Below are 25,709 nucleotides of genomic sequence, written 5' to 3'. Positions count from 1 at the left end.
TCTCAGGTAGCTGGGATTACAGGCATATGCCACCACACTCTGCTAATTTTTGTATTTTTAGTGGAGACGGGGTTTCGCCTTGTCTAGGCTGGTCTTGGTCTCCTGACTTCAGGTGATCCGCCCACCTCGGCCTCCCAAACTGCTGGGATTACAATCGTGAGCCACCATGCCCAGCCTCATTTTATTTTTGAAACAAGGTCTCCCTCTCACCCAGGCTGGAGTGCAGTGGCATGGTCCTGGCTCACTGCAACCTCAACCTCCCAGGCTCAAGTGATCCTCCCACCTCAGCTTTCCGAGTAGCTGGGACCATAAGTGGGCACTACCACACTGGGCTAATTTTTTTTTTCTGTAGAGACAGGGTCTCGCTATGTTGCCCAGGCTGGTCTCGAACTCCTGGGCTCAGGTGATCCTCCCACCTCTGCCTCCCAAAGCCCTGGAATTATAGGCATGAGTCACTGTGTTTGGCCCTGTTATCCCATTTAAATTCTGCTCAGGCTGGTGCAGTGGCTTATGCCTCTAATCCCAACACTTTGGGAGGCTGAGGCAGGTGGATCCCTTGAGGCCAGGAGTTCGAGATCAGCCTGGACAACATGGTGAAACCCTGTCTGTACTACAAATACAAAAATTAGCCAGGCGTGGTGGCGCATGCCTGTAATCCCAGCAACTTGGGAGGCTGAGGCATGAGAATCACTTGAACTCAGGAGGCAGAGGTTGCAGTGAGATGAGATTGTGCCACCACACTCCAGCCTGGGCAACAGAGCGAGACTCTGTCTCAAAAATAAATAAAATAAAATAAAATTTAAAAAAAAATTCTGCTCAAAGCTCTTATTGCTCCCGGGAACTTCCCATTTGATCATTTTCAGGTTTGTTTCCTCACCATAAGGTGGGTCTGTATCAGCTGACCCTTCCCACAGGAGGGAGGAGGAGTACAGGGCAAGGCGTGTAGCACATGGCAGGTGCATAATAAGCACTTGAGGAGGGGAGGAAAGGATGAGCTACAGAGAGCAGTAGATCTGAGGTTCCAACCAGGGAAGGCAAGCCTGGTAAGGAGAGGGAGGCTGCTGGTGGCTGGGATGGTATTCAGAGGGGGCCTTGCTGGAAGCAGGAGGCCAAGGTGGGCCCAGCATCCAATCCAGCTAAGAGCATCTCACCCTGTACCTCCCGCTCCTAAGTCTGCTGACAACCTGGAAGCAAGAATCTATCTTTGGCTGGCCAGGCACTGTGGCTCACGCCTGTAATCCCAGCATCTTTGGGAGGCCGGCGGGTGGATCACTTGAGGTCAGGAGTTTGAGACCATCCTGGGCAACATGGTGAAATGCCGTCTCTATCAAAAATACAAAAATTAGCTGGACATGGTGGCACATGCCTGTAACCTGTAATCCCAGCTACTTGGGAGGCTGAGGCAGGAGAATTGTTTGAATCTGGGAGGCGGAAGTTGCAATGAGCCGAGATCACGCCACTACACTCCAGCCTGGGCAACAGAATGAGAATCCGTCTTAAAAAAAAAAAAAAAGAATCTGTCTGTGGGGATATGTGGGGTTATGAGCTGAAAGCAATAAGGAGCTATGAAGGGTATCTGAGCAGGGGGTGGGTGGGATGAGGTCAGATCTGCCTGATAGAAATTCCTGCAGCTTTTGCCTCACACATGTCCTGTTTTATGTTTTTGTCTTCTTATTGCCGCCCAGTGGAGTACAGTGGCGCAATCATGGTTCACTGCAGCCTCCAACTCCTGGGCTCAAGCGATCCTCTCGCCTCAGCCTCCCAAGTATAGCTGGGACTACAGGCATGTGAGCACCACCACGCCTGAGTAATTTTTTATTTTGTGCAGAGACAGGATCCAGAACTCCTGGGCTCAAGTGATCCTCCCACTTTGGTCTCCCAATGTGCTAGAATTACAGCCCTGAGCCACGGCCCCATGCCCCGTTTTTACCAGTGTATATTTTCTACTGGAAAATGAGACTTTTAGGGATGAATGTGGACTTGTCTGTTGAAACTTGTAAATTTGCTTAAAAAAAAAAAAAGATCTCCAAGTCTTCACAAAATTTTATATTCCCCAAGGCTGCCCCATCACAATGCCTGTGAAGCTTGACTGGCAGACACTGAGGCCTGAAGCTGGGGGCTACAGGGGGTCACTGGCTCACCCGGTCCCCCCGTAATCTGTAAAACATACTGGGTGAGGGAGGCTGCTGGAGGACCTGAATCTCTCCCTTCTCCAGGCAGTAGTGAGGCATATGCCTGTTGGCCTTGGGCCCATTAAAGATCATTCCAGCCCCAGTGCTGTTCTCTGAATTCTTGGGGAACACAGGGATGGGGGCTCCTAATGAGGACCCCAGAAACTCTGAGCTCTCACAACTTTCAAAGGACACTTGCCTCCCTCCTCTGCCCACACCTCCACCATTACAGCATTTGATCCCACAAGTAAGGAGGGGGCGGTCCTATTCCACCACCTCTCTGGTATCCCCCCAACCTTCTGAGTTGTCTGAGACCCAGGAAAGGGTTAAGATCAGGACCCCTCTCTCCTGGGCTGAAAGATATTTCTCACGTCAGCTCTATGTGGACACAGGAGTTTCTGGCTGGCCTGGAACTGCAGACGGAGCTTATCTGCCATTAAACCACTGCAGGTGCACTGCTTAGCATCCCGTCTGTGAGTAGGTGAGAGCAGGGAAGTAAGACTTTGACTCAAACGGGACGGATGCATCCACAGTTGGAACTCTAGCACAGGCACTTCTGCCATTAGCAGCCACAAAAAGAAGATGGATATTTTCTGGAGTTCCTCCAGCCATCCAGGGAAGATGCTGGAACAGTACCAGGTGGGTTTTGAAGGATGTGTAGGAGTTCGCCAGCCAGAATATTCACTCATCAAACCTCAAACCTTCCCTGGCACTCCCTTATGCTCAGACCACAAAGGTCTCAGCTTCCTGGGAGGAAGGTGTCGCCCCTTCCTATGGAAACAGGAGCCCAGAGGCTGGGGACCCTGATGCTGACTCAGTAGATCTGTGTCTGATTGCCGCAGGTGAGGTTGGGCTGGTTCAGCGCATCCCACATGAGCAGCATCTCATAAGGTAGGAAGCGGTGCACCAGCAGCAGGTCTCGGTAGAAGCAGGGGTCAAAGGAGGACAGGCGTTGCGATGGAGCCCGCACGCCAGACGTGCGGATGCCGCTGTGGGAGGCAGGCTTCAGTCCCTCAAGCTCCAGACACATACCCAGGAAGACATCATCAATGGGGAAGATGTCCAAGACATGGGCAGCACGGCGCAGGGCAGCGGCCGTGAAGCGGGACAGCAAGAAGCCACCACCCCCACAATAGGGTGGGTACCGCTCATTCTGAGTCACCACCTCTGGCACATAGTACTTGCTCCAAAAAGCCCGGATGGGGCCCACGTTTTGGATCAGTTGCCCCACGAAGAGGTGGCGGCCAGGGTCATGGTCCTGCAGGTAGAAGACCATGTTGTCTGTGTGTGCAAAGACGTCATCATCCCCGTTGAGCACGAAGCTGGCGTTGGCGCACCTTGTCTCCTGCCACTGTAAGAACAGGACCTGCAGGCAGGGTGGACAGGGCATGCTTGCTTGAGGGCTGGAGAAATTGGCCTTGGGTCTCTATTAGCCACTCCAGCCCACTAAGCCCAGGAAAGGAAGTGTCCACAATCCAGCCTGGGTTAAGGCCCTGCCCTGTGGGGTTACTTGGGAAACCCTCTCTGTGCCTTGGTTTCAACTCTCCAAACAGGCCTTATCATGTGCCTCTAGGAGTGTTGGGGAATCCATGGAGACCATGCTCCATGAAGCACCAAGAAATGCTGGAAAATTGTTACATTTACATGTATTGCTATTCCTTCCAACTCTGCCTGGCCAAGCCCTGTTGTTAAATAATCATTTGTATGAATTTTGTTTGTTTCTGAGACAGGGTCTTGCTCTATTGCCCAGGCTAGAGTGTAGCGCTATGATCATAGTTCATTGCAGCCTCAAATTCCCGGGCTCAGGTGATCCTTCCACCTCAGCCTCCCAAGTAGCTGGTACTACAGACACATGCCGCTACTTACTCCTGGCTAATAATTTTTTTTTTTTTAAGAGATGGGATCTTGCTATGCTACGCAGGCTGGTCTCAGACTCCAGACCTCAAAGGATCCTCCCACCTCAGCCTCCCAAAATGCTGACATTACAAGCAATGAGCCACCACTCCTGGCCTTTGTGTGATTTTTATTTTATTATTATTATTATTATTTTTTTGGAGATGGAGTTTTCGCTTTTGTTGCCCAGGCTGGAGTGGAGTGGTGCAATCTCGGCTCACTGCAACCTCCGCCTTTCAGGTTCAAGCAATTCTTCTGCCTCAGCCTCCCAAGTAGCTGGGATTACAGGCATGCACCACCACACCTGGCTAATTTTTTGTATTTAGTAGAGACAGGGTTTCACCATGTTGGTCAGGCTGGTCTTGAACTCCTGACCTCAGGTGATCCACCTGCCTCAGCCTCCCAAAGTGCTGGGATTACAGGTGTGAGCCACCGTGCCTGACCTGTGTGATTGTTAACATCCCCCTCTCCCACCAAACACTGGACTTCCCTCCTTGGGCCTGTGTCTCTCTTTTCTGTTCATGCCATCTCCCTCAGCACCCAGCATAGTGCCAGTGCTTCACGGGTGCTGGGTTCATATTTGTCAAGCTGATGTTTATCACACACTTTTAAAGGGTTTTTTGTTTTTGTTTTTGAGACAGAGTCTCACTCTGTCACCCAGGCTGGAGTGCAGTGGCACAATCTTAACTCACTCCAACCTCCGCCTCCAGGGTTCAAGCGATCCTGCTGCCTTAGCCTCCCAAGAAGCTGGTCTCGAACTCCTGGTCTCAAGTGATCCGCCCACCTCAGCCTCCCAAAGTGCTGGGATTATAGGCATGAGCCACTGTGCCTAGCCACTTTTGTGTTTTCAGAACACAGCATGTTAAGAGGCCATGGCCCCTACCCGCCTCAGCCTCAGTTTCCCCTACAGTAACCTACACAGGCTGGGTATCTGTTTGTTGCCGGGCGCTGTGCTTGGTGCTTACCCTACCTTGAATCCTGAATGCACCCTTAGGAGGCAGAAGTGGTCCTCTATCTTATTTACAGATGAGGGAACAGAGGCTCTCCAGAGAAAACTGCAGTGAGGTCACCCGCAGAGAAACAGCTACCAGAGGACTTGAACCCAGGCCTGTCTGTACCTCCTATGAGCAGGAACCTGCAGAGTTCCCTGTTCCTCCTTGAAAATGTTGTCTCTACTTGTCTTGCTCTACTCGAGGACCTAGGAGGGGTTCTTAGAGCCCCTCCATTTCCTCATCTGCAGATGGGCAGGATTTTCTCACCTCTCATGGCTTCTTTTTTTAAAAAAATAGAGACGAGGCTGTGCGTGGTGGCTCATACCTGTAATCCCAGCACTTTGGGAGGCCAAGGCAGGAGGATCACTTGAGGTCAGGAGTTTGAGACCAGCCTGGCCAACATGGTGAAACCCCATCTCTGCTAAAAGTACAAAAAAATTAGCTGGGCATAGTGGCATGCACCTGTATTCCCAGCTACTCAGGAGGCTGAGGCAGGAGAATCACTTGAACCTGGGAGGTGGAGGTTGCAGTGAGCCGAGATTGCACCACTGCACTCCAGCCTGGGGGACAGAGCCAGACTCCATCCAAAAAAAAAAAATTAATTAAAAAAACATAAAAATTAATTAATTAAATTTTTTTTGAAAAAGATGAGGTCTCGCTATGTGGCTCAGGCTGGCCTCAAACTCTTGGGCTCAAGCGATCCTCCCTCCTCAGCTTCCCAAAGTGCTGGGATTACAGGCATGAGCCACCAAGCCTAGCTACCTCTCATGGGTTCTTGTCCATCAAAAAGGTCTTGACTGAGCACATGCTGTGCACCTGAATCTATTCTAGGCATTAGGGACACAGCAGTGAGTGAAACAGACAAGGCCCCCAGCCTCATGGGGAGACAGAACCGGAACAAATAAACAAGGAGATGTTGGCCGGGCGCAGTGGCTCACGCCTGTAATCCCAGCACTTTGGGAGGCCGAGGCGGGAAGATCACCTGAGGTCAGGAGTTCGAGATTACCCTGGCCAACAGGGTGAAACCCCGTCTCTACTCAAAATACAAAAATTAGCTGGGCATGGTGAGTGCCTGTAATCCCAGCTACTTGGGAGGCTGAGGCAGTAGGATCGCCGGAAACCAGGAGGTGGTTGCAGCAAGCCCAGATCGCACCACTGCACTCCAGGCTGGGCAACAGAGCAAGACTCCATTAAAAAAAAATAAATAAACATAAAAATAAACAAGGAGATGTGTCCCCCGTCATTGCCAAGTTGAGTTGGACATCCAGCACTGGTCTGGGTGCCTTATAAACTCCATCTCCTGTAAACCTCACAGTAGCCCTTAGAGGTGGGTGGGACTCATTCACATCCCATTTTCCAGGTGAGAAAAGTGAGGCACAGAGAGGTGAATGAACTCCTCCAAGGTCGAACACCAAGTAAGAGGCAGAGCTTGGATTCGAATCCGCATCATCAGGCTTGAGCTCTGTGCTAGTAACCTAGCTCCTCTGCCCTTCCCCCTAGCCTCTCCTAGAAGAAGACCATTTTGGGTCTCCACGAGGCTGGTGAGGACAGCAGAGGGGCAGAATGGGCTGTGATGGACTGACGAGGACTTCTGGTCCCCTGGGTCCCTCAGGAGTGGGTGGTAATTTGGACAAGAAGGACAGGTGGCCCCGATCAGGTGACCCCAGTCCAGCGCACCTGCTTGAGCGTGAGGTTGAAGAAGGAGTCGTGGAAGTCCCACTGCAGGATGTCTCCGTGAGTCTGTGCCTCCAGCTCCAGCAGCCGGTTGACCTTGCGGGCCTCGTGCGGGTTGGAGGCTGTGCCCACCAGGAAGAGGAGGCGCAGCTGCAAACCCCGTACCTTGCGCTCGCGGCCCCACGTGCGCCGCAGCAGCTCGCGGCGCACATAGTTGCTAGGGGAGGACTTGATCACCAGCAGCAGGAAGACCGGCTGCGCGCACTTAGAGGGGGGCACGTCCTGCAGCAGGGGAAAGTGGCGGCAGTGTCTGTACAGGAGGAAGTTCTGAACGTGCTGCGGCTGCGTGGCGAAGTCCGGGTGGGTGACCATAGAGGTGTTGGCATGGCACGGGGCCGGGGCTGGGCGGGTGGGTGGAGTGGGCCAGGCCAGGGCCTCGGGGATCGCCGGTGGCTGCTCCTGGACCTTGCAGGTGGGTGGTGACACTAGCAGACTGAAGAGGAGGAGGGTGAAAGCGCCGATGGCCAGAATGAGGGTGGCATTGGGCCGCCGGTGCCGGAGATACTTCATCCTGGCCAGCCAGGGTCTGGGGTCGGCCTGAGGAGCCTCCTGGGCGGCTCCTGTGGAAAACAAAACTCACTGAACACTCGCCATGAGCAAAGCGCTTTTCCTGTGGCCCCCAACATCTGGTTGCACCTGTACAGTTGCTCAGGTTGGCAAAATATTGAAATTCACCCCCCACTTAACTCCTCCACCCCTTGCAAGACCCATTTCAAAGCACTCCAACCCCTGTTGGCTCTGACAGGTGCCCTGGCCCTCCCTGCTGGGGATTAATTTTTTAAATTTTTTAATTTTGTTTTTTTTTTTTGAGACAGCGTCTCTCTCTCTCTCTCTCTCTTGTTCTGTTGCCCAGGCTGGAGTGCAGTGGTGTAATTTCCGCTTACTGCAGCCTCCACCTCATGGGTTCAAGCGATCCTCCTGCCTCAGCCTCCTGAGTAGCTGGGATTACAGGTGTGAGCCACCATGCCTGGCTAATTTTTTTGTATTTTTAGTAGAGACGGGGTTTTACCATGTTGGCCAGGCTGGTCTTGAACTCCTGACCTCAAGTGATCCACCTGCCTCGGCCTCCCAAAGGGCTGGGATGACAGGCATGAGTCACTGTGCCCTGCCTTTCTGTGTGAAGTCTTAGTTTCCTTATTAGGACATGGGGGTGCTGAGGTTCCTGCTCCAATACACACACACACACACACACACACACACACACACTGGGGCCACTGCTCCCTGACTGCAAAAGGGCTTGATGCATATTAGCTGTGTGGTGACCGCCTCAGTGACCATGAGTCCACCATCCTGGCTACCTTGATTCCCCAGCTATTCCCACTTACAGCATGGAGCAGTATCAGAACCCAGGACTTTTTTTTTTTTTTTTTTTTCTTGAGATGGAGTTGCCCAGGCTGGAATACAGTGGCACAATCTCGGCTCACTTCAACCTCCGCCTCCTGCATACGAGCGATCCTCCTGCCTCATCTTTCAGAGTAGCTGGGACTACAGGCACGCGCCACCACGCCCAGTTAATTTTTGTATTTTTAGGAGAGACAAGGTTTCACCGTGTTGGCCAGGATGGTCTCGATCTCCTGACCTCATGATCTGCCCACCTTAGCCTTCCAAAGTGCTGGGATTACAGGCATGAGCCACCGTCCCCAGCCGGAACCCAGAACTTTGATGGGTGCAGTATGCCCATCTCATACGTCCCTCAACTCGGGGTCACTGGGAGACTCCCTTCCAACACCTCAGGGCCTCCCAGAATCTGTCACAAGGGACTGCGTCATGGATGGCACCAAACATCCCTCAAAGAGAACCTGGCCAACTCTCGGCCACCTGGGGCACAGACAGGTGAATATCCGTGAACGTGCATGAGTCCAATCCTGTTAACTGTCACAGTGCTCATCAGCCCTAGAGTGTTAACTGAGCACCTACTGTATGCTAGATGCTGGGGATACAGCTGTGACCAAGCCAGCCCTGCCCTCAATATAACAATAAGTAGAACAGCTTGGGCAGCATGGTGAAACCCCGTCTCTACAAAAAACACAAAAATTAGGCTGGGCGCAGTGGCTCACACCCATAATCCCAACACTTTAGGAAGCCAAGGCAGGTGGATTACTTGAGGTCAGGAGTTCAACAGCAGCCTGGCCAACATGGGGAAACCCACTCTCTACAAAAAAAAAAAAAAGAAAATACAAAAATTAGCCAGGCATGGTGATGGGTGCCTGTAGTCCCAACTACTCGGGAGGCTGAGGCAGGAAAATCACTTGAACCCAGGAGGTGGAGGCTGCAGTGAGCTATGATCACACCATTGCACTCCAGCCTGGATGACAGAGAAAGACTCTGTCTCAAAACAAAACAAAACAAAAAATTAGCAGGCTGTGGTAGCATGTGCTTGAGGTCTCAGTTACTTGGGAGGCTGAGGTGGGAGGACCACCTGAGCCCAGGAGTTCAAGGCTGCAGTGAGCTATGATCACACCACTGCACTCCAGCCTGGGCAACAGAGCAAGATGCTGTCTCAAAAAAAAAAATTGTAAATGATACTAACAATTAGTGACAGCCATACTAATTGTTACTGAGGCAGGTCCACAGGGGACCTGAGCAACCTAGGATCAGGGAGGTCCTGAAGGATGATGGGAATTCACTTGAGCAGACTGTGGGGAAGGGCATTCCAGACAGAGTGGAGCATGTGCAAAGGCCCTGAGATGGATACAAATTTAGGGTGCTGGTGGCAGAGCGAGGAGGCTGACGTGGTTGGGACAGGGCGAGAGAAAGGAGGTGATGGTGGAGTTATGGGACCCTGCTAGGGTACAAGAATAGAATGGGCACGCCAGAAAGAATGTCTTATGTTTCCTGTGAGAAGCAATGAGGAGCCATGGAGGGTCTATGAGCAGGGGAGGGATCAGATTGATTTATGCCTTTAAGAAGTCCCCTGTGGGCTGGGCAAGGTGGCTCAGGCCTATAATCCCAGCACTCTGGGAGGCTGAGGTAGGAGGATCGCTTGAGCTTAGGAGTTTGAGACCAGCCTGGGCAACATGGTGAAACCCCATCTCTACCCAAAATACAAAAGTTAGCCGGCGTGATGATGCATACTTGTAGTCCTAGCTATGCGGGAGGTTGAGGTGGGAGGATTGCCTGACCCCAGGAGTTTGAGGCTGCAGTGAGCTATAATCACACCACTCCAGCCTGGGCAACAGAGAGAGACTGTCATTAAAAAAAAAAAAAAAAATCCCTGTGGTCACTAAGGGATTAGGGACATTTCAGTCAGGGCAGGGCAACTAAGGGAGACCCTGTCTCTGCTAAATAAAAAAATGAAACAAAATTAGCTGAGTGTGGTGGTGTACACCTGTAGTCCCAGCTACTCAGGAGGCTGGGTGGGGGGAGATTGGGTAACATCTAGGTGGAAGAGTTTGGTGGCCTAGACAGAGGCTGGCTGCTGGGGTATAGGAGAGTATGCAGGTTTAGAAAATAAGGTGAAGGGCTGGGTGCAGTGGCTCACAGCTGTCATCCCAGCACTTTGGGAGGCCAAAGTGGTGGATCACCTGAGGTCAGGAGTTCGAGACCAGCCTGGCCAACATGGTGAAACCCCCGTCTCTACTAAATACAAAATATTAGATACAAAAATTAGCAGGGCGTGGTGGCTCATGGCTCATGCCTGTAATCCCAGCTACTCAGGAGGCTGAGGAAGGAAAATCGCTTGAACCCAGGAGGCGGAGGTTGCAGTGAGCCAAGATCACACCACTGCACTCCAGCCTGGGCAACAGAGCAAGACTATGTCTCAAAAAAAAAAAAAAAAAAAAAAGCTGGGCACGGTGGCTCACGCCTGTAATCTCAGCACTTTGGGAAGCCGAGGCAATCACTTGAGCTCAGGAGTTCGAGATCAGCCTGGCCAACATGGCAAAACCCCATCTCTACTAAAAATACAAAAATTACCCGGGTGTGGTGGTGCGTGTCTGTAATCCCAGCTACTCAGGAGGCTGAGACAGTAGAATCACTTGAATCTGGGAGGCGGAGGTGGCAGTGAGCCAAGATCAAGCCATTGTACTCCAGCCTGGGCGATAGAACAAGACTCTGTCTCAAAAAAAAAAAAAAAAAGAAAAAAAAGAAAGAAAGAAAAGAAAAAAAAAAGGAAAATAAGATGAAGAAAGTCATCAATGTTTCGATCACAGCCCAGATGTCCAGATGTTAGGGGGTGGAAAAAGAAGGACCAGAAGGAGCAGAATGAGGAACCTCTGGGCAGTGGGAGGCTCAGTCTGGTATCCAGGTGAGAGCTGTTGGCACACCATGGCCTATAAGCCAGGAAGGCCCAACAGGTATTGATTGTGTGTGCTGTGTTTTAAGAGACAGGGTCTCACTATGTTGTCCAGGCTGGTCTTGAATTCCTGGCCTCAAGCAATCCTCTTGCCTTGGCTTCCCAAAGCGCTGGGATTACAGACATAAGCCACCTTGCCAGCTAATTAAAAATTTTTTTTTTTTTTTTTTAGTGATAGGATCTCACTTGCTCTGTTGTCCAGGCTGGAGTGCAGTGGCGATCATAGCTCACTGCAGCCTCCAGCTCCTGGGCTCAAGTGATCCTCCTGCCTTAGCCTCTTGAGTAGCTGCGACCACAGGCACCAGTCACCATGCCTGGTGCCAACAGGCAATTGTCATATGTTCCCTGCATGTTACAGCGCCTACCCTGCACTCCTGTTCAAGGTGGGTGAAAAAACTTCACCCCAAGCCAGACACGGTGCCACCAGTGTCCAGCAGTGACATCCAGGCTGACTCTTGGGGACCCTCGCCTGGCCGCCCGCTGCCAGACCAGTCGGTCCTGCCTGGAGCTGTTTGCACTTCACGTGCCAGTGCGATTTTGCCATCCTCCAGAACCCACTTCCTCAAATGCACAGAAAAGCCATTTATTTCCCCTGCCAAGACCCAGAAGCCACCGCCTGGGGTGTGGCTGCAGGATGTGGGTCCTCTCTGCTGCCATCTTTCCCACACAATCTCTGCCCTCACTCATCTGCTCCAGCTGCACCAGCCTCCTTAAACATGGCCGGGAGCTGTGGCCCACGTCTGTAATCCCGGTACTTTGGGAGGTCAAGGAGGGCAGATCACCTGAGGTCAGGAGTTTGAGACCAGCCTGGCCAACATGGTGAAACTCTGTCTCTACTAAAAATACAAAAATTAGCCAGGTGTGGTGGCACACGCCTGTAATCCCAGCTACTCAGGAGGCTGAGGCAGGAGAATCACTTGAATCCAGGAGGTGGAGGTTGCAGTGAGCCGAGATCGTGCCACTGCACGCCAGCCTGGGCAATATAGCCAGATTCTGTCTCAAAAAAAAAAAAAATCCTTTAACACCCAGGCTCAGGCTGGATGCAGTAGCTCATGCCTATAATCCTTGCACTTTAGGAGGCTGAAGCAAGAGGGTTGCTTGAGCCTAGGAGTTCAAGACCAGCCTGGGCAAAAAAGGGAGACCTGTCTGTGCTAAAAATTAAAAAAAAAAGTAAAAAAATTAGCTGAGTATGGTGGTGTATGCCTTTAGTCCCAGCTACTCGGGAGGCTGAGGTGGGAGGATCACTTGAGCCCTGGAAGTGGAGGCTGCAGGGAGCTGTGATCACACTTCCAGCCTGGTGGCAAAGCGAGACCCTGTCTCAAAACAAACAAAAACCACCCAAGCTCAGCCCTGCCTCAGGGCCTTTGCACCTGCCACTGCCTCCACCTAGGACCCCCTTCCTTTCCAGCTCTTTCCGTAGTCTTCATATTTAGGCTTCCCCTGAAATGTCACCTCCGAGAGGCTTCGACCTCCAGGCTAAAACACCTAGCCCCAGCACTGCTGATGTCTGTAGCATTCACCACCATCAGACATGGGAAATCTCTTCGCTTCTCTCCTGTCCATCTGCCCAGCCAGCCTGAAGCCCCAGGGCTGGGCATCTTATCTCCTGCAACTGTGCTCCCACAGGATGCTACCTAGTTTGTTGCAGAAGGGAAAAAGTACGATAGCCATCACCTCCTATCTCACTGCAGCCTCGCCCCCACTCCACGAGGCAGCAGCCACAGTCCCCTGCCGCACACGTTCTGCCTCAGAAGACAGATTTATAGCTTGGGAGACTAGTAAGCCTTGGGCACCCGTGATTCAGTCAAGATAAGTCACCTGTAATCCCAGTGCTTTAGGAGGCTGAGGCAGGAGGATCACTTGAGCTTAGGTGCTCAAGACCAGCCTGGGTAACACAGCAAGACCCTGTCTCTACAATGATTTTTTTTTTTTTTTGGAGACAGAATCTTGCTAGGTCACCCAGGCTGGAGTGCAATGGCATGATCTCAGCTCACTGCAACCCCCGCTTCCCAGGTTCAAGCGATTATCCTGCCTCAGCCTCCTGAATAGCTGGGACTACAGGCATGTGCCACCACGCCTGGCTACTTTTGGTATTTTTAGTAGAGACGGGGTTTCACCATGTTGGGCAGGCTAGTCTCAAACTCCTGACCTCAAGTGATCCGCCCACCTCAGCCTCCCAAAGTGTTGGGATTACAGGCGTGAGCCACCATGCCCAGCCAAAAAAAATTTTTTTAATTAGCCTGGTGTGGTGGTGGTGAGTGCCTATAGTCCCAGCTACTCAGGAGGCTGAGGTGGGAGGATCACTTGAGCCCAAGAGTTCAAGACCAGCCTGGGCAACATGGTGAGACTCTGTCTCTACAAAAAGTGTAAAAATTAGCCAGGTGTGGTGGCGTGCACCTGTAGTCCCAGCTACTTGGGAAGCTGAGGCAGGAGAATCGCTTGAGCCCAGGAGTTCAAGGCTGCAGTGAGCTATGATAGCACCACTGCACTCCAGCCTGGGCAACAGAGCAAGATCCTGTCTCAAAACAAAAAAACAAAAAACAGCTGGGTATGGTGGCTTGTACCTGTAATCCCAGCTGTTTGAGAGGCTGAGAAGGAAGGATCACTTGAGCCCAAGAGTTTGGGCAAGATGGCAAAACCCCATCTCTACAAAAAATACAAAAATTAGCCGGGCATGGTGGTGTGCGCCTGTAGTCCTGGCTACTTGGGAGGCTGAGGTGGGAGGATCGCTTGAGCCCAGGAGGTCAAGGCTGCAGTGAGCCATGATCTCGCCACAGTACTCCAGCCTGGGGAACAGAGCAAGACCCTGTCTCAAAAACAAAACAAACAAACAAACAAAAAAAGTGCTGCATGTTAGTGAAGTACTGAACATTAACAATCCATTAACTACAGAGGAGGTGCCTACTATTCGTAATATACAAAATAGTTGCAAAGCAATAATGAAAAGTTGCAAGTTGTGCCCAAATATACTGAATTTTTTTTAAAGTTGCAAGTCACATACATGATACTTGAATATTATCATGAGGAATATATATATATACATATATATATTTTAGATAGAGCCTCTGTCGCCCAGGCTGAAGTGCAGCGCCACGATCTCAGCTCACTGCAACCTGGAGGTTGCACCCTCCTGGGTTCAAGTGATTCTCCTGCCTCAGCCTCCTGAGTAGCAGGGATTACAGGCATGTACCACCACACCCGGCTAATTTTTGTATTTTTAGTAGAGACAGAGTTTCACCATGTTGGCCAGGCTGGTTTCAAACTCCTAATCTCAGGTGATCCACCCACCTCAGCCTCCCAAAGTGCTGGGATTACAGGCATGAGCCACCTCGCCCGGCCTAATAGTATCATGAGGAATATTAACAAGCCACAAACAGTCTTCAGATACCAAATATTCATGGTCACTGAATATTCATGCTTCAATGCACAGGTGATACTAAGTATTAATGACTCATTGAAAATTAATGACCACTAAATATGCAGAAGGGTTGTCTGCTCAGCAGAATCGTAGGCATTGGCAGCTGCACCCTGGCCCCATGTCCTCTGCCACTCCCAGGGGGCAGTCAAGGCTGGGCCCTTGCCCCAGGTGCAAGTGGCTCCAGGCACCTCTGTCGCCCTCATCCCTGTTTCTTTGGTTTTATTCTGGAGACAGAGTCTCGCTTGCTGTGTCCCCCAGGCTGAAGTGCAGTGGTGTGATCTTGGCTCACTGCAACTTCCGCCTCCTGGTTTCAAGCGATCCTCCTGCCTCAGCCTCCCAAGTAGCTGAGATTACAAGTGTGCGCCACCACACCCAGCTAATTTTTGTATATTTAGTAAAGACGGGGTTTCAGCGCGTTGGCCAGGCTGGTCTCGAACTCCTGACCTCAAGTGATCTGCCCGCCTCGGCCTCCCAAAGTGCTGGGATTACAGGAGTGAGCCACTGCGCCCAGTCTCAACCCTGTTCTTGTCACTGTCTGCAAGAGATGTGGGGCATGTGAAAGTCATCAAGGACCCTGCTGGTACCACCTGGGGCTAGATCTGCCCCCCTCACTCCCAAGACTATTTGGAGACCACAGGTGATGGGGAGTGGCACAGGGGGCGGGGGATGTCCTGACACTGACTCAGAGGTCTCCATAGCATTAAGGTAATTCTCCCTGTGAAACTCCCACTTTCCAGATGAGGAAACTGAGGCCCAGATAGGGCTACTTCTGGATTGCTCTTCAGGGACTCCCAGGCCTGGATACCCCTAACCGGCCTGGATACCCCTAACCAGCCTGGTCGCTGGCTCTCAGTCTCTGCCTTGCCTGCAGCTGGGAGGACTGGTCTGTGAGCTGATGCCTTTGAAGCAGCCATGGGGACCCCCGACAGCCGTTGAGGAAGGGCCTTCTGACCCAGCTACTGACCTTCCATGGGACCTGGGCCGAGTAGCTGGGGCCACCCAGACCTTAGCATCCTCCTCTGCAAAGCTGGGATGGTCAGCCGGGCTCGGTGGCTCACACCTGTAATCCCAGCACTTTGGGAGGCAGAGGCGGGCGAATCATGAGGTCAGGAGTTCGAGACCAGCCTGGCCAACATGGTGAAACCCCATTTCTACTAAAAATACAAAAAATTAGCTAGGTATAGTGGAGGGCGCCTGTAATCCCAGCTACTCAGGAGCCTGAGGCAGGAGAATCGCTTGAACCCAGGAGGTGGAGGTTACAGGGAGCCGAGATTGCGCCACTGCACTCCAGCCCGGGTAAATGAGACTCCATCTCAAAAAAAAAAAAAAAAAAAAAGCTGGAATGGTGGCAGAACCACCACCTGACTATCAGCATTGCTGTGGCCGCTGTTTCTCCAATTCTCACCCATCCTAAATTGGGATTTGGATGGAGGTGTGGAACATTCTGAGGCCGCCAAAAGGCAAGGCAAGAGGTGGAGGGTGAGAGAAGCTTCTGGAAGAATCCCGTTTGACTACATACGGATTTGAGTCCTGGGAAAGGCTAGAGGGTCAAGTGGTAGCTCCAAGCAGTGGCCTTTTCTCCAAGTGGCACATATGTGAAGCGCCAACAATGAGATTTTTTTTTTCTTTTCTTGAGACAGGATCTTGCTCTGTCACCCAGGCTGGAGTGGTGCAGTGGCACGATCATAGCTCACTGCAGCCTCCAACTCCAGGGCTCAACTGATCCTCTTGCCTCAGCCTCCTGAGTAGCTGGGACCACAGGCATGCATCACCACCCCTGGCTAATTTCATTTTTGTAGAGATGGGTCTCGCTATGTTGCCCAGGCTGGTCTCCAACTCCTGGGCTCAAGTGATCCTCCCACCTCAGCCTCCCAAAGTGCAGGGATTACAGTTGTGAGCCACTGCACCCAGCCACAATTAGATTTTTTTTTTTTTGAGACAGAGCCGCACTCTGTTGCCCAGGCTGGAGTGCAGTGGTGCTATCTTGGCTCACTGCAACCTCTGCCTCCAGGGTTCAAGCGATTCTCCTGTCTCAGCCTCCAGAGAAGCTGGGATTACAGGTGTGCGTTACCATGCCCAGCTAATTTTTGTATTTTTAGTAGAGATGGGGTTTCACCACGTCACCTAGGCTGGTCTCAAACTCCTGACCTCAGGTGATCCACCCGCCTCGGTCTCCCAAAGTGCTGGAAATACAGGTGTTAGCCACCACGCCCAGCCACAATGAGATTTAATAGCAGCTGCCACCACCCTTATCACCTGCAGAGTTGTGACTGCTCTGAGCAAGTGCTGAGCACCTAGCGTATGCCACATCTGGGTCTAGGTTCCGAGGACACAGCCAAGATGATGGAGAGAAACACTCGTGTGCCCAGGACGCTGATACACCACTAACAGGGGACAGAGAAGTGGCAAACAGGACAATTTTCCAGAGGAGTGCAACCTCTAGGGGTGAAGAAACTCCAGGGTGGAAGTTGGGGACGCTTGCAGGAGAGGGTGTGAGCCCCTGGCCTGTGGAGGAACCCGAGGAGTCTCACTGAGCCTTCCAGAGGGGAGCCTAGGGTCCAGGTGGACGATCTGTGCAGAGAGGGTGCAACTCTGCCCAAGGTCACACAGCCGACTGAGGCCAGGGCGGGTTGGTGGGATTTGAACCCTGATCTGCCAGCCCCTGTGGGTGGTTCCTCACCAGTTCTTACCAGTTTGGGTTTCCCAGTAATGATAGGCTGGTCCCTTTTTACAAGGAGCAGGAGTTGCTTTTGCAAACAGAAGGGGAAGAAAAGAAGAAGAAATAGCCCAGTAAATCCTTTAAGTTCACAATGGCCGGACCCTGCTTTAGTGAAACCATGTGTACTAGTGAGTTCTCTGTCAATATATACTCAATATCTGCACCAGGGAGTGCCTGGGTATGGAAAAAGGGGTGGGGTTGGGCACGGTGACACATGCACTTTAGACTTTGGTGTCCCGGGTTTCTAGGTCCCGAGGCTCTGTCATGGATGACTAATTGTATGTCATCCATGCCAGCCCTACCCCATTGCAGGAACTGCCTGGGGCACCTATGTGAGACTGGAAAGGGGCCCCTGAATAACACCAGCCCTGGCCCAGTGGAGTCTCAAAGGGCATCTTTGGGCTCACTCCATAGATGGGGAAACAGGCTGGGAAGCCAGGCCGTGCATCGCAGTTCAACCTCAGACCCTTCCCACAATCCAGGAGTGATGGGGGAACTGAGGTCTCCTGGGCCCCTCCTCTGGGGACTTCCTGGACCCCCACACCTTCAGGCTGGTCAGAGCTCTTCTCCAAGTCTTGTACTTAGAGCTCAGAAATATTCATGATATTATTTCTGTGTGCAAAGATACATGCTATAAATGATAACATAATGAGCTGCATAATTAGGACTAGGATCAATATGCCAGGTCCTGTGTGCAGCCTGGCCACCATCTGTCCATCTAAACTCTATATGTGTGCTGAGAAGTAGGGCTGCATTAGCTCCATTTTTATGGATAGGAAAATTGAGGCACAGAGAGGCCTAGAAATCCACCTAAGAAAGGTTGGGTGGGAGCCTAGTTCCTGTCTTTAACTCCCAGCTGATGAGATTTCCTTTAGTTTGCCACGTTGGTAGTGACCTCACCATCATGAGGAGCAATCAAGGCAAGCCAGATTCCCACCAGGAAGAGGGTCCACAATAGGCATCCTCCCTGGCTCATGGGGTTGGGGGAGTGAGCAAATTCCTGCTTGCTCTGGGCCTCAGAGGCTGGTGGCAGGAGGAAATGTCACTCAGTGAGCCCTTACTTGCTCCTCCTGGGCTGACCTGGCTTGTCTGGATTCCTGAACTCTGGCCTGGAACAGAGAAGCACCAAGGCCCCCTTTTGGTTCTCCCACACCCAGAGCACCTGCCAGGAAATGCCACACCCTAGGGGTGAGAGTGAGGGAGGGTGTCCAGGCTGGACTGAGCAAACACCCAACTGCTCACCTAGGCCATATGGGGGCCCAGCTGCCTGACCTGGGGGCCACACCTCTTCCTCCTGACACCAGCCCTGCCTGGTGTCACCTTGAGAACAGGCCAGTGGGAGGAAGTGATGGCCCCCAGGGCTGGCCCCAGACCTAGACGGCCAGGTGGCTTCCCATGGGCCCTGAATCCCAGATCTGGACTGCAGGAGTCCCCCGCCCAAGTTGAGGGGCGACCTCAGTTTCCTCTTGAGAAGTGTCCATTTAAAAAAATCAGAGCTGGGCATAGTGGCTCATGCCTGAAATCCCAGCACTTTCAGATGCCAAGGCAGGAGGATTGCTTGGGCCCAGGAGTTTGAGACCAGCCTGGACAACATAGTGAGACCCCGTCTCCACACACAAAAAAATTTTAAAATTAGCTGCCTGTGGTGTGCACCTGTAGTCCCAGCTACTCGGGAGGCTGAGGTGGGAGGATCACTTGAGCCCAGGAGGTTGAGGCTGCAGTGAATACAGTGCATGGAGCCACTGTACTCCAGCCTGGGTGACAAAGTGAGTCCCCCACCTCTACAAATAAAACAAACAAACAAAAAGTTTAAATCTGACCCAGAGGAAAAGATGGTCGGGATTCTTGGAACAGGAGTGAATCTGAACAGTGGCTACAGACATAATTAATATAATTATGATGACAGCTGACTGTCCCTGGGCACCCACTGAGTGGCCACAGCTCCTATCCACTCAACTCATCCTCGCCAAGGTCCCATGCCATGAGACCCCCCCTTAACACACAGGGAAACTGAGGCTCAGAGACCTAACGCCAGTCACGCAAGGGCCCCCAGTGGCCAGCAGTACACCTCATCACAAAAATTTCCTTTGACTAAACGCTTCGGGCATCCTCATCCCAGCTGGTTCATTGTTCCACCTCACGGAGGGGAAACTGAGGCCGGTTCAGCAATGTGTCCATGCCACGCAGCCAGGGCCCCTGGAATGCCGCCCAGCCACCTGGCAGGGCCTGCAGCACCGGAACCGCAGGGAGAGACTGGGGGTCACCTGCAGTTCCCAAACCCAACCGGGGACCCCAGCGCTGGCTTGCCCAGATACTCCCAACCAAGGGGCCAATAATCTCAACAACACAGGTAACAGTAACAGCCAAGTCTGACTAAGCGGCATCCGCCTCGGGGGTCTGATCCCGCCCAATCTGGGAGGGGCGCCGGGGTCCCGGGTCGCCAGCTGTGGGGGAGGCTTCCTCCCCGACCCAGGTCCGAGCTGGCCTTGGGAACGCCGGAGACAATTACGGATGGGTGAGGGCAACCGGGTTCTCGAGACTCGGGGCTCCCGAATGTTCCCACATCTGCAGGGTATGCGCGGTGGAGACCGGCAGGGGCTTCTCCAGAGCCACAACTTCCCCACCCCCAAACCCCCACCACTGGGGTCCGCCAGATCCTCCGGGGGCTGCCGACACTCACCCCCAGACGACAGTCCCGCCTCTGCCCCTCTACCTGCTCCTCTCAGCTCGCGAGCCGAAGAAAGAGTTTTTACCTGAGCCAGAGCTCCCGCCCCTCTCCCGCTTCCTCCCTCCCACCGGGCCTCACGCCTTCCTGCCTCCCTCCGCCTTGGCCGCTTGCCAGTCCCCCTCTTCCCAGCTCGGCTGAGTTTCCTGGTGGCCCAGGCGAAGTTCTCTGCCGGCTCCTCCCTCCCCGGCCATGCCTCTTCCCCTCTCCGGTCCCGGCTGCCACCTCTGCCATCCCGCTCTTGCCACCCTCGCCCCTCTCGGGGCTCACGACCCCACCTTGGGTCTGGCCCGCTGCTAGGGAATGAGCTCCCCGTGGCTGGAGATGAACAAGCAGCGCCTTGCGGGTTCCTGGCACAGAGCCCGGTCAGCGTTGGCCCACGTGTGTTCCGTGAAGAAATGATTGGATAAGCCCATGGCGATAAGGAGGGAGGGAGGCAGGTTAAACCTTGCGGCACCTCTGCTCTCTGCGGGGAGTTCAAAGATTCCTGAAGCTGGGGTCGGCGCAGTGGCTCACTCCTGTACTTCCAGAGGCCGAGGGGGGCGGATCGCTGGAACCCAGGAGTTTGAGACCAGCCTGGGCAACATAGTGAGATTCCATCTCTATATTGAAAATAATTCCAGGACCCGAAAACCTACGATGTGCCCCCAGACATCCAGATGCCACCTGCTGGCATTTGGAAGGGTTCTGGAAGTCAACAATCAGACAGATTTGTAGTCTTTTCTTTTTCTTTTTTTCTTGTTTTGAGAGACAGGATCTCGCTTTGTCACCCAGGCTAGAGTACAGTGGTGTGATCTCCGCTCGCTACAATGTCGACCTCCCCAGTTCAAGCAATCCTCCCACCTCAGCCTCCCGAGTAGCTGGGACTACAGGCACCCGCCAGCATGCCTGGCTAATTTTTGTCATTTTTCTAGATATGGGGTTTTGATATGTTGCCCAGGCTGGTCTTAACTGTGGGCCTCAAGTGACCTTCCTGCCTCAGATCCCCAAGGTGCTGGATTATAGATGTGAGCCACTGCACCTGGCCTCAGATTTGTAGATTTTTAGGGTTGGGTTGGCTAGGATTCGAACCCTGCCCTGTGCTGCCTCTGAATCTCTAGGAGATTCTAGCCTGGACCCAGCGTTGGGAGCTCTGGGGTTGGGGAAGTCCAGGTGTGTGAGCTGGGCTATGGTTTCAGGAAACCCCTCCTTCCTCCTTCATCCCTGTTTCTTCCCGAGGAGGAAGCCGAGGTGTATATGTGGCCTGTCTGTGCCTCAGTTTCCTCACCTGTAAAATGTAAGAAATAGCCCCTGGGTACTCTGGATGGGAGAGGTCTGGGGAGTGAACCCTCAGAGCAAATGCATGATTAAAACTGTATGGAGGGCAATTACCGGAAATGTCATAGTGTCAAATGTGGCACTACTGGCCTCGGTTCTGGATGCACACACTTTCTTACTGTGGTACATCCTTGGACTTTGATTCAGAGTCTATGCTCACCCTGTTGGGTCCCTGGGTTCACCAAGTCATGGCCCCAGGAAGGGATTTGTCGGCCGGGAAGGAGCCGGAACCAAAAGTCCCATCCTGGGCGGGCGGGGTGGCTCAACCCTATAATCTCAGCATTTTGGAAGGCCGAAGTGGGCAGATCATGCCGGTAATCCCAGCACCTTCCAAAGGCCAAAGTGAGGGGATCACCTGAGGTCAGGACTTTGCGATCAGCCTGGCCAACATGAAGAAACCCCGTCTCCACTAAAACATACAAAAATTAGCCAGGCATACTGGCGGGTGCCTGTAATCCCACCTACTCGGGAGGCTGAGGCAGGAGAATCACTCGAACCCAGGAGGTGGAGGTTGCAGTGAGCAGAGATCATGCCACGGCACTCCAGTCTGGGAGATAGAGTGAGACTCCATCTCAAAAAAAAAAAAACAAAAAACAAAAATATTAGCCAGGTGTGGTGGCGGGCGCCTGTAATCCCAGCTACTCAGGAGGCTGAGGCAGGAGAATCACTTGAACCTGGGAGGCAGAGGTTGCAGTGAGCCAAGATCGCACCACTGCACTCCAGCCTGGGCGACAGAGTGAGACTCCATCTCAAAAAAAAAAAAAAAAAAAAGTACCATCCTGTGACAGGGTCCCCGCCCATCCCCTCCTCCACCAGGTACTGGCCCTCCAGAATTCAGGCTGCTGGGAGGATGTGAGCTCTAGCCCCGCCCCACTCACCCAGGGAAACTGAACCCTCCCACCCTTTTCCCATGTGTAAGACATACAGATACCCTGAGCCCCCAGACCTTTTAAACCGGGTGCTTCCGGGGTTCACTGGACGCAATAGAGTGAATTCTGGTGCTGGAGGGCCCGGGTTCAAATCCGGACTAGAATGACCCTATGATCCCGCCATTGCCCTTGTAGGTATCTACCCAAAGGAGTTGAAAACAGGTGTTGAAACAAATGCTTGCATAGGGAAGTTCATAGCAGCATGATTCACAGTGTTCTTTTCAGCTGCTTGGGTGGTGATCACCCACCCAAGTGTCCAGTGGATGAATGGATAAACAACATGTGGTCCATCAGTGGAGTCTTGAGTTTTTTTTTTTTTTGTTTTTTTTTTTTTTTTTGAGACAGAGTCTCGCTCTGTCACCCAGGCTGGAGTGCAGTGGCAGGATCTTGGCTCACTGCAACCTCCACCTCCCAGGTTCAAGCAGCTCTCTTGTCTCAGCCTCCCGAGTAGCTGGGATTATAGGCACCTGCCACCACGCCCGGCTACTTTTTGTATTTTCAGTAGAGACGGGGGTTTCACCATGTTGCCCAGGCTGGTCTTGAACCCCTGACCTCAAGCAATCCACCCGCCTCAGCCTCCCAAAGTGCTGGGGTTACAGGTGTGAGCCACTGTGCCCTGCCTGGAGTCTTTTTCAGCCATCAGAAAGACTGAAGTCCTGGCCAGTAGCTCACGCCTGTAATCCCAGCACTTTGGGAGGCTGAGGCAGGCAGATCACTTGAGGTCAAGAGTTCGAGACCAGCCTGGCCAACATGGCAAAATCCCTCTCTACTAAAAATACAAAAATTAGTTGGGCATGGTGGCGCATGCTTGTAATCCCAGCTACTCGGGGAGCTGAGGCAGGAGAACTGCTCAAATCCAGGAAGCAGAGGTTGCAGTGAGCCCAGATCATGCCACTGCACTCCAGCCTGGATGACAGAGCGAGACTCTGTCTCAAAAAAAAAAAAAAAAGAGAGAGATTGAAGTCCTGATAAGAGATTGAAGTCCTGATCCCTGCTACAACAGGGATGAAATAAAAAACACGATGCTGAGTGAAAGAAGCCAGACACAAAAGGCCACATGTCGTATGATTCCATTTATGTGAAATGCCCAGAACAGGCAAATCCACAGAGACAGGAAGCTAATTAGTGGTTGCCAGGAGCTGTGGGAGGGGAAATGGGGCATGACTGCTGAAGGGGACAGGGTTTCCTTTCGGAGGGGATGAAAATGTGCACAAATTAGATAAAGGGTGTGGTTGCACATATTATGAATATACTGAAACTCACTGAATTGTTCATTTTAAAGTGGTTCATTTTTTGTTTTGTGAATTTCAGCTCAAAAGAAAATCCAATTAGGCCACTTATCAGCTGGGGGTGGCCTCTGACATGTGGCCCAGTTGATGGTGCTGTGCCAATGGATCACTCTGTACCACAGCTGAGGTTTTAAGGCCACCCGGGTGGAAGAGACCAGGGCATGTAAACTGCATAATGGCATCACGCCTGCCCGGGGTTGGCAGGTTTAACGGGTTCCGCGCCCTCTCTCTTGGAATTCACTCTTCTGAGATAGGTCACGTCACACCTGCTCTGGAAGGCTGGGCAGTTAGGAGGCCACACCTGGGAAAAGTGCCTTCTGCGCTTTTTTGTTTGCTTGTGTTTTTTTGTTTTTTTTGTTGTTGTTGTTGTTGTTTGTTTGAGACGGAGTCTTGCTCTGTCATCAAGGCTGGAGTGCAGCGGCGCCATCTGGGCTCACTGAAACCTCTGCCTGCCGGGTTCAAGCAATTCTCCTGCCTCAGCCTCCCGAGTAGCTGAGATTACAGGCACCTGCCACCACGCCCAGCTAATTTTTGTTTTCTTAGTAGAGATGGGGGTTTCACCATGTTGGCCAGGCTAGTCTCGAACTCCTGGCCTCAAGTGATCCACCGGCCTGGGCCTCCCAAAGTGCTGGGATTACAGGCGTGAGCCAATGCGCCCAGCCCTGTTTGTTTGGTTTCTTTTTTGAGATGGAGTCTCTGTCTCCCAGGCTGGAGTGCAGTGGCATGTTCTCAGCTCACTGCAACCTCCTCGTCCTGGGCTCCAGAGATTCTCCTGCCTCAACCTCCCGAATAGCTGGGATTACAGGCGCCCACCACCACGCCTGGCTTATTTTTGTATTTTTAGTAGAGATGGGGTTTTATCATGTTGGCCAGGCTGGTCTCGAATTCCTGACCTCAAGTGATCCACCTGCCTTGGCCTCCCAGAGTGCTGGAATTACAGGCATGAGTCACCATGCCCAGATGCCTTCTTCATTTTAAAAGGTGCCCAGCCTCATTTGTGTCCCCAGGAAGGCAAATAAAAGCTACTAGGAGGTGCCATGTACCCGCCACTTATCAGACAGGGAAGAACCCATGCCCAGATTAGGCTACATTATGAGGAGGTGGTGGCAAACAGATTTTGATTTTGTCACCTCTATAAAGCTCAGCTCTGATACCCAGGGCCCCATGGATGTCTGACACCCAGTGGCCCCATGGATGCCACTACTCTCTGACACCCAGAGCCACACCCACTGGGCAGGTGTGGTCTCTGAATTTACAGCCTAGGTGCTAAGACCTGCAAGGGAGAAGACATGAAGGGCTGGGAAGTCCCTGGGCTGTTTGTAGCCAGACAGGGCAGGTGCTGCAGCCACCTCTGCCCCCATTTGATGCCCCAACTCCTATAATCATCCTTCCTTCCTACAGCTGACGTTTTTGTTGTTTTTGTTTTGTTTTGTTTTGATACAGGGTCTCACTCTGTCACCCAGACTGGAGTGCAGTGGTACAATCTGGGCTCATCACAACCTCCGCCTCCCAGGCTCAAGCGAGTCTCCTGCCTCAGCCTCCCAAGTAGCAGGGATTACACGTGCACACTACTACCGCCTGGCTAATTTTTGTATTTTTAGTGGAGACGGGGTTTCACCATGTTGGCCAGGCTGGTCTTGAACTCCTGACCTCAAATGATCCACCTGCCTCGGCCTCCCAAAGTGCTGGGATTATAGGCATGAGCCACCCTACCTGGCCTATTTAAGAGACAGTATCTCACTCTGTGGCTGCCCAGAGCCTTGGAGAGCACCAGTGTGATCTTAGCTCACTGTAGCCTCAACCTCCTGGGTTCAATTGATCCTCCTGCCTCAGCCTCCCAAGTAGCTGGGACCATAGGCGTGTGCCACCATGCTGGGTCAATTTTCCTATTTTTGTAGAAACAGGGGGTCTTGCTATGTTGCCCAGGCTGGTCTTGAACTCCTGCTCTCAAGTGATCCTCCTGCCTCGGCCTCCCAAAGTGTTGGGATTACAGGCGTGAGCCACGGTGCCCGACTCTCAGCCAATGTTAATTATGCACTTGCTTTGTGCCAAGAATGCTCCCTGAACCTCTCCCAACTACAGGATTCCTCCCATCTTACAGACAAGGAAACTGACGCACAGCCAGAGGCACTCTCTCTTTGGAGGACAGGGTGGGATGATCAGAGACAGCGCACAGCAAGTCTCAGGCCAAATCCTGCCTCCTACTTCCTTCCTTCTGAGCTTCATCC

General features: G+C 52.5%; 1 protein-coding gene across 3 annotated transcripts, besides 2 other annotated features; it reads right to left on the bottom strand.

Moving 5' to 3' along the window:
• On the bottom strand, window positions 1,532-20,317 carry B3GNT3 (UDP-GlcNAc:betaGal beta-1,3-N-acetylglucosaminyltransferase 3). Of its 3 annotated transcripts, none has more exons than XM_011527626.3 (3): window positions 20,225-20,317; window positions 6,734-7,350; window positions 1,532-3,537 (listed from the first exon to the last, which is right to left on the bottom strand). In XM_011527626.3, the coding sequence occupies exons 2-3, from the start codon at window positions 7,298-7,300 to the stop codon at window positions 2,986-2,988; spliced, it is 1,119 nt and encodes a 372-aa protein (XP_011525928.1). In that variant the 5' UTR covers window positions 7,301-7,350; window positions 20,225-20,317; the 3' UTR covers window positions 1,532-2,985. The 3 variants fall into 3 exon arrangements, with proteins under 3 accessions (XP_011525928.1, XP_047293998.1, NP_055071.2); XM_047438042.1 differs by lacking the exon at window positions 20,225-20,317 and adding an exon at window positions 17,193-19,970; NM_014256.4 differs by lacking the exon at window positions 20,225-20,317 and adding an exon at window positions 19,902-19,970.
• Window positions 19,377-20,074: an enhancer, noted in NCBI's record as "H3K4me1 hESC enhancer chr19:17905843-17906540 (GRCh37/hg19 assembly coordinates)". NCBI's record gives its function as "activates a minimal SCP1, AML or CMV promoter by ChIP-STARR-seq in primed H9 embryonic stem cells {active_cell/tissue: H9 hESC(primed)}" and the evidence as "EXISTENCE:reporter gene assay evidence [ECO:0000049][PMID:30033119]".
• Window positions 20,075-20,772: an enhancer, noted in NCBI's record as "H3K4me1 hESC enhancer chr19:17905145-17905842 (GRCh37/hg19 assembly coordinates)". NCBI's record gives its function as "activates a minimal SCP1, AML or CMV promoter by ChIP-STARR-seq in primed H9 embryonic stem cells {active_cell/tissue: H9 hESC(primed)}" and the evidence as "EXISTENCE:reporter gene assay evidence [ECO:0000049][PMID:30033119]".

Source organism: Homo sapiens, chromosome 19 (genome assembly GCF_000001405.40).
Source record: "Homo sapiens chromosome 19, GRCh38.p14 Primary Assembly".
In the NCBI taxonomy this organism is placed as follows: domain Eukaryota; kingdom Metazoa; phylum Chordata; class Mammalia; order Primates; family Hominidae; genus Homo; species Homo sapiens.
Note: the sequence above shows the minus strand (reverse complement) of the source record. Positions and strands in the feature narration are given on the sequence as shown.

Bases quoted from the DNA above. Each gene is read 5' to 3' on its own strand.
- B3GNT3 (XM_011527626.3), bottom strand. From the start codon at position 7,300: ATGAAGTATCTCCGGCACCGGCGGCCCAATGCCACCCTCATTCTGGCC. The intron at 3,538-6,733 runs GTGCGCTGGACT...CCCTGCCTGCAG, and splicing joins TCAACCTCACGCTCAAGCAG to GTCCTGTTCTTACAGTGGCA.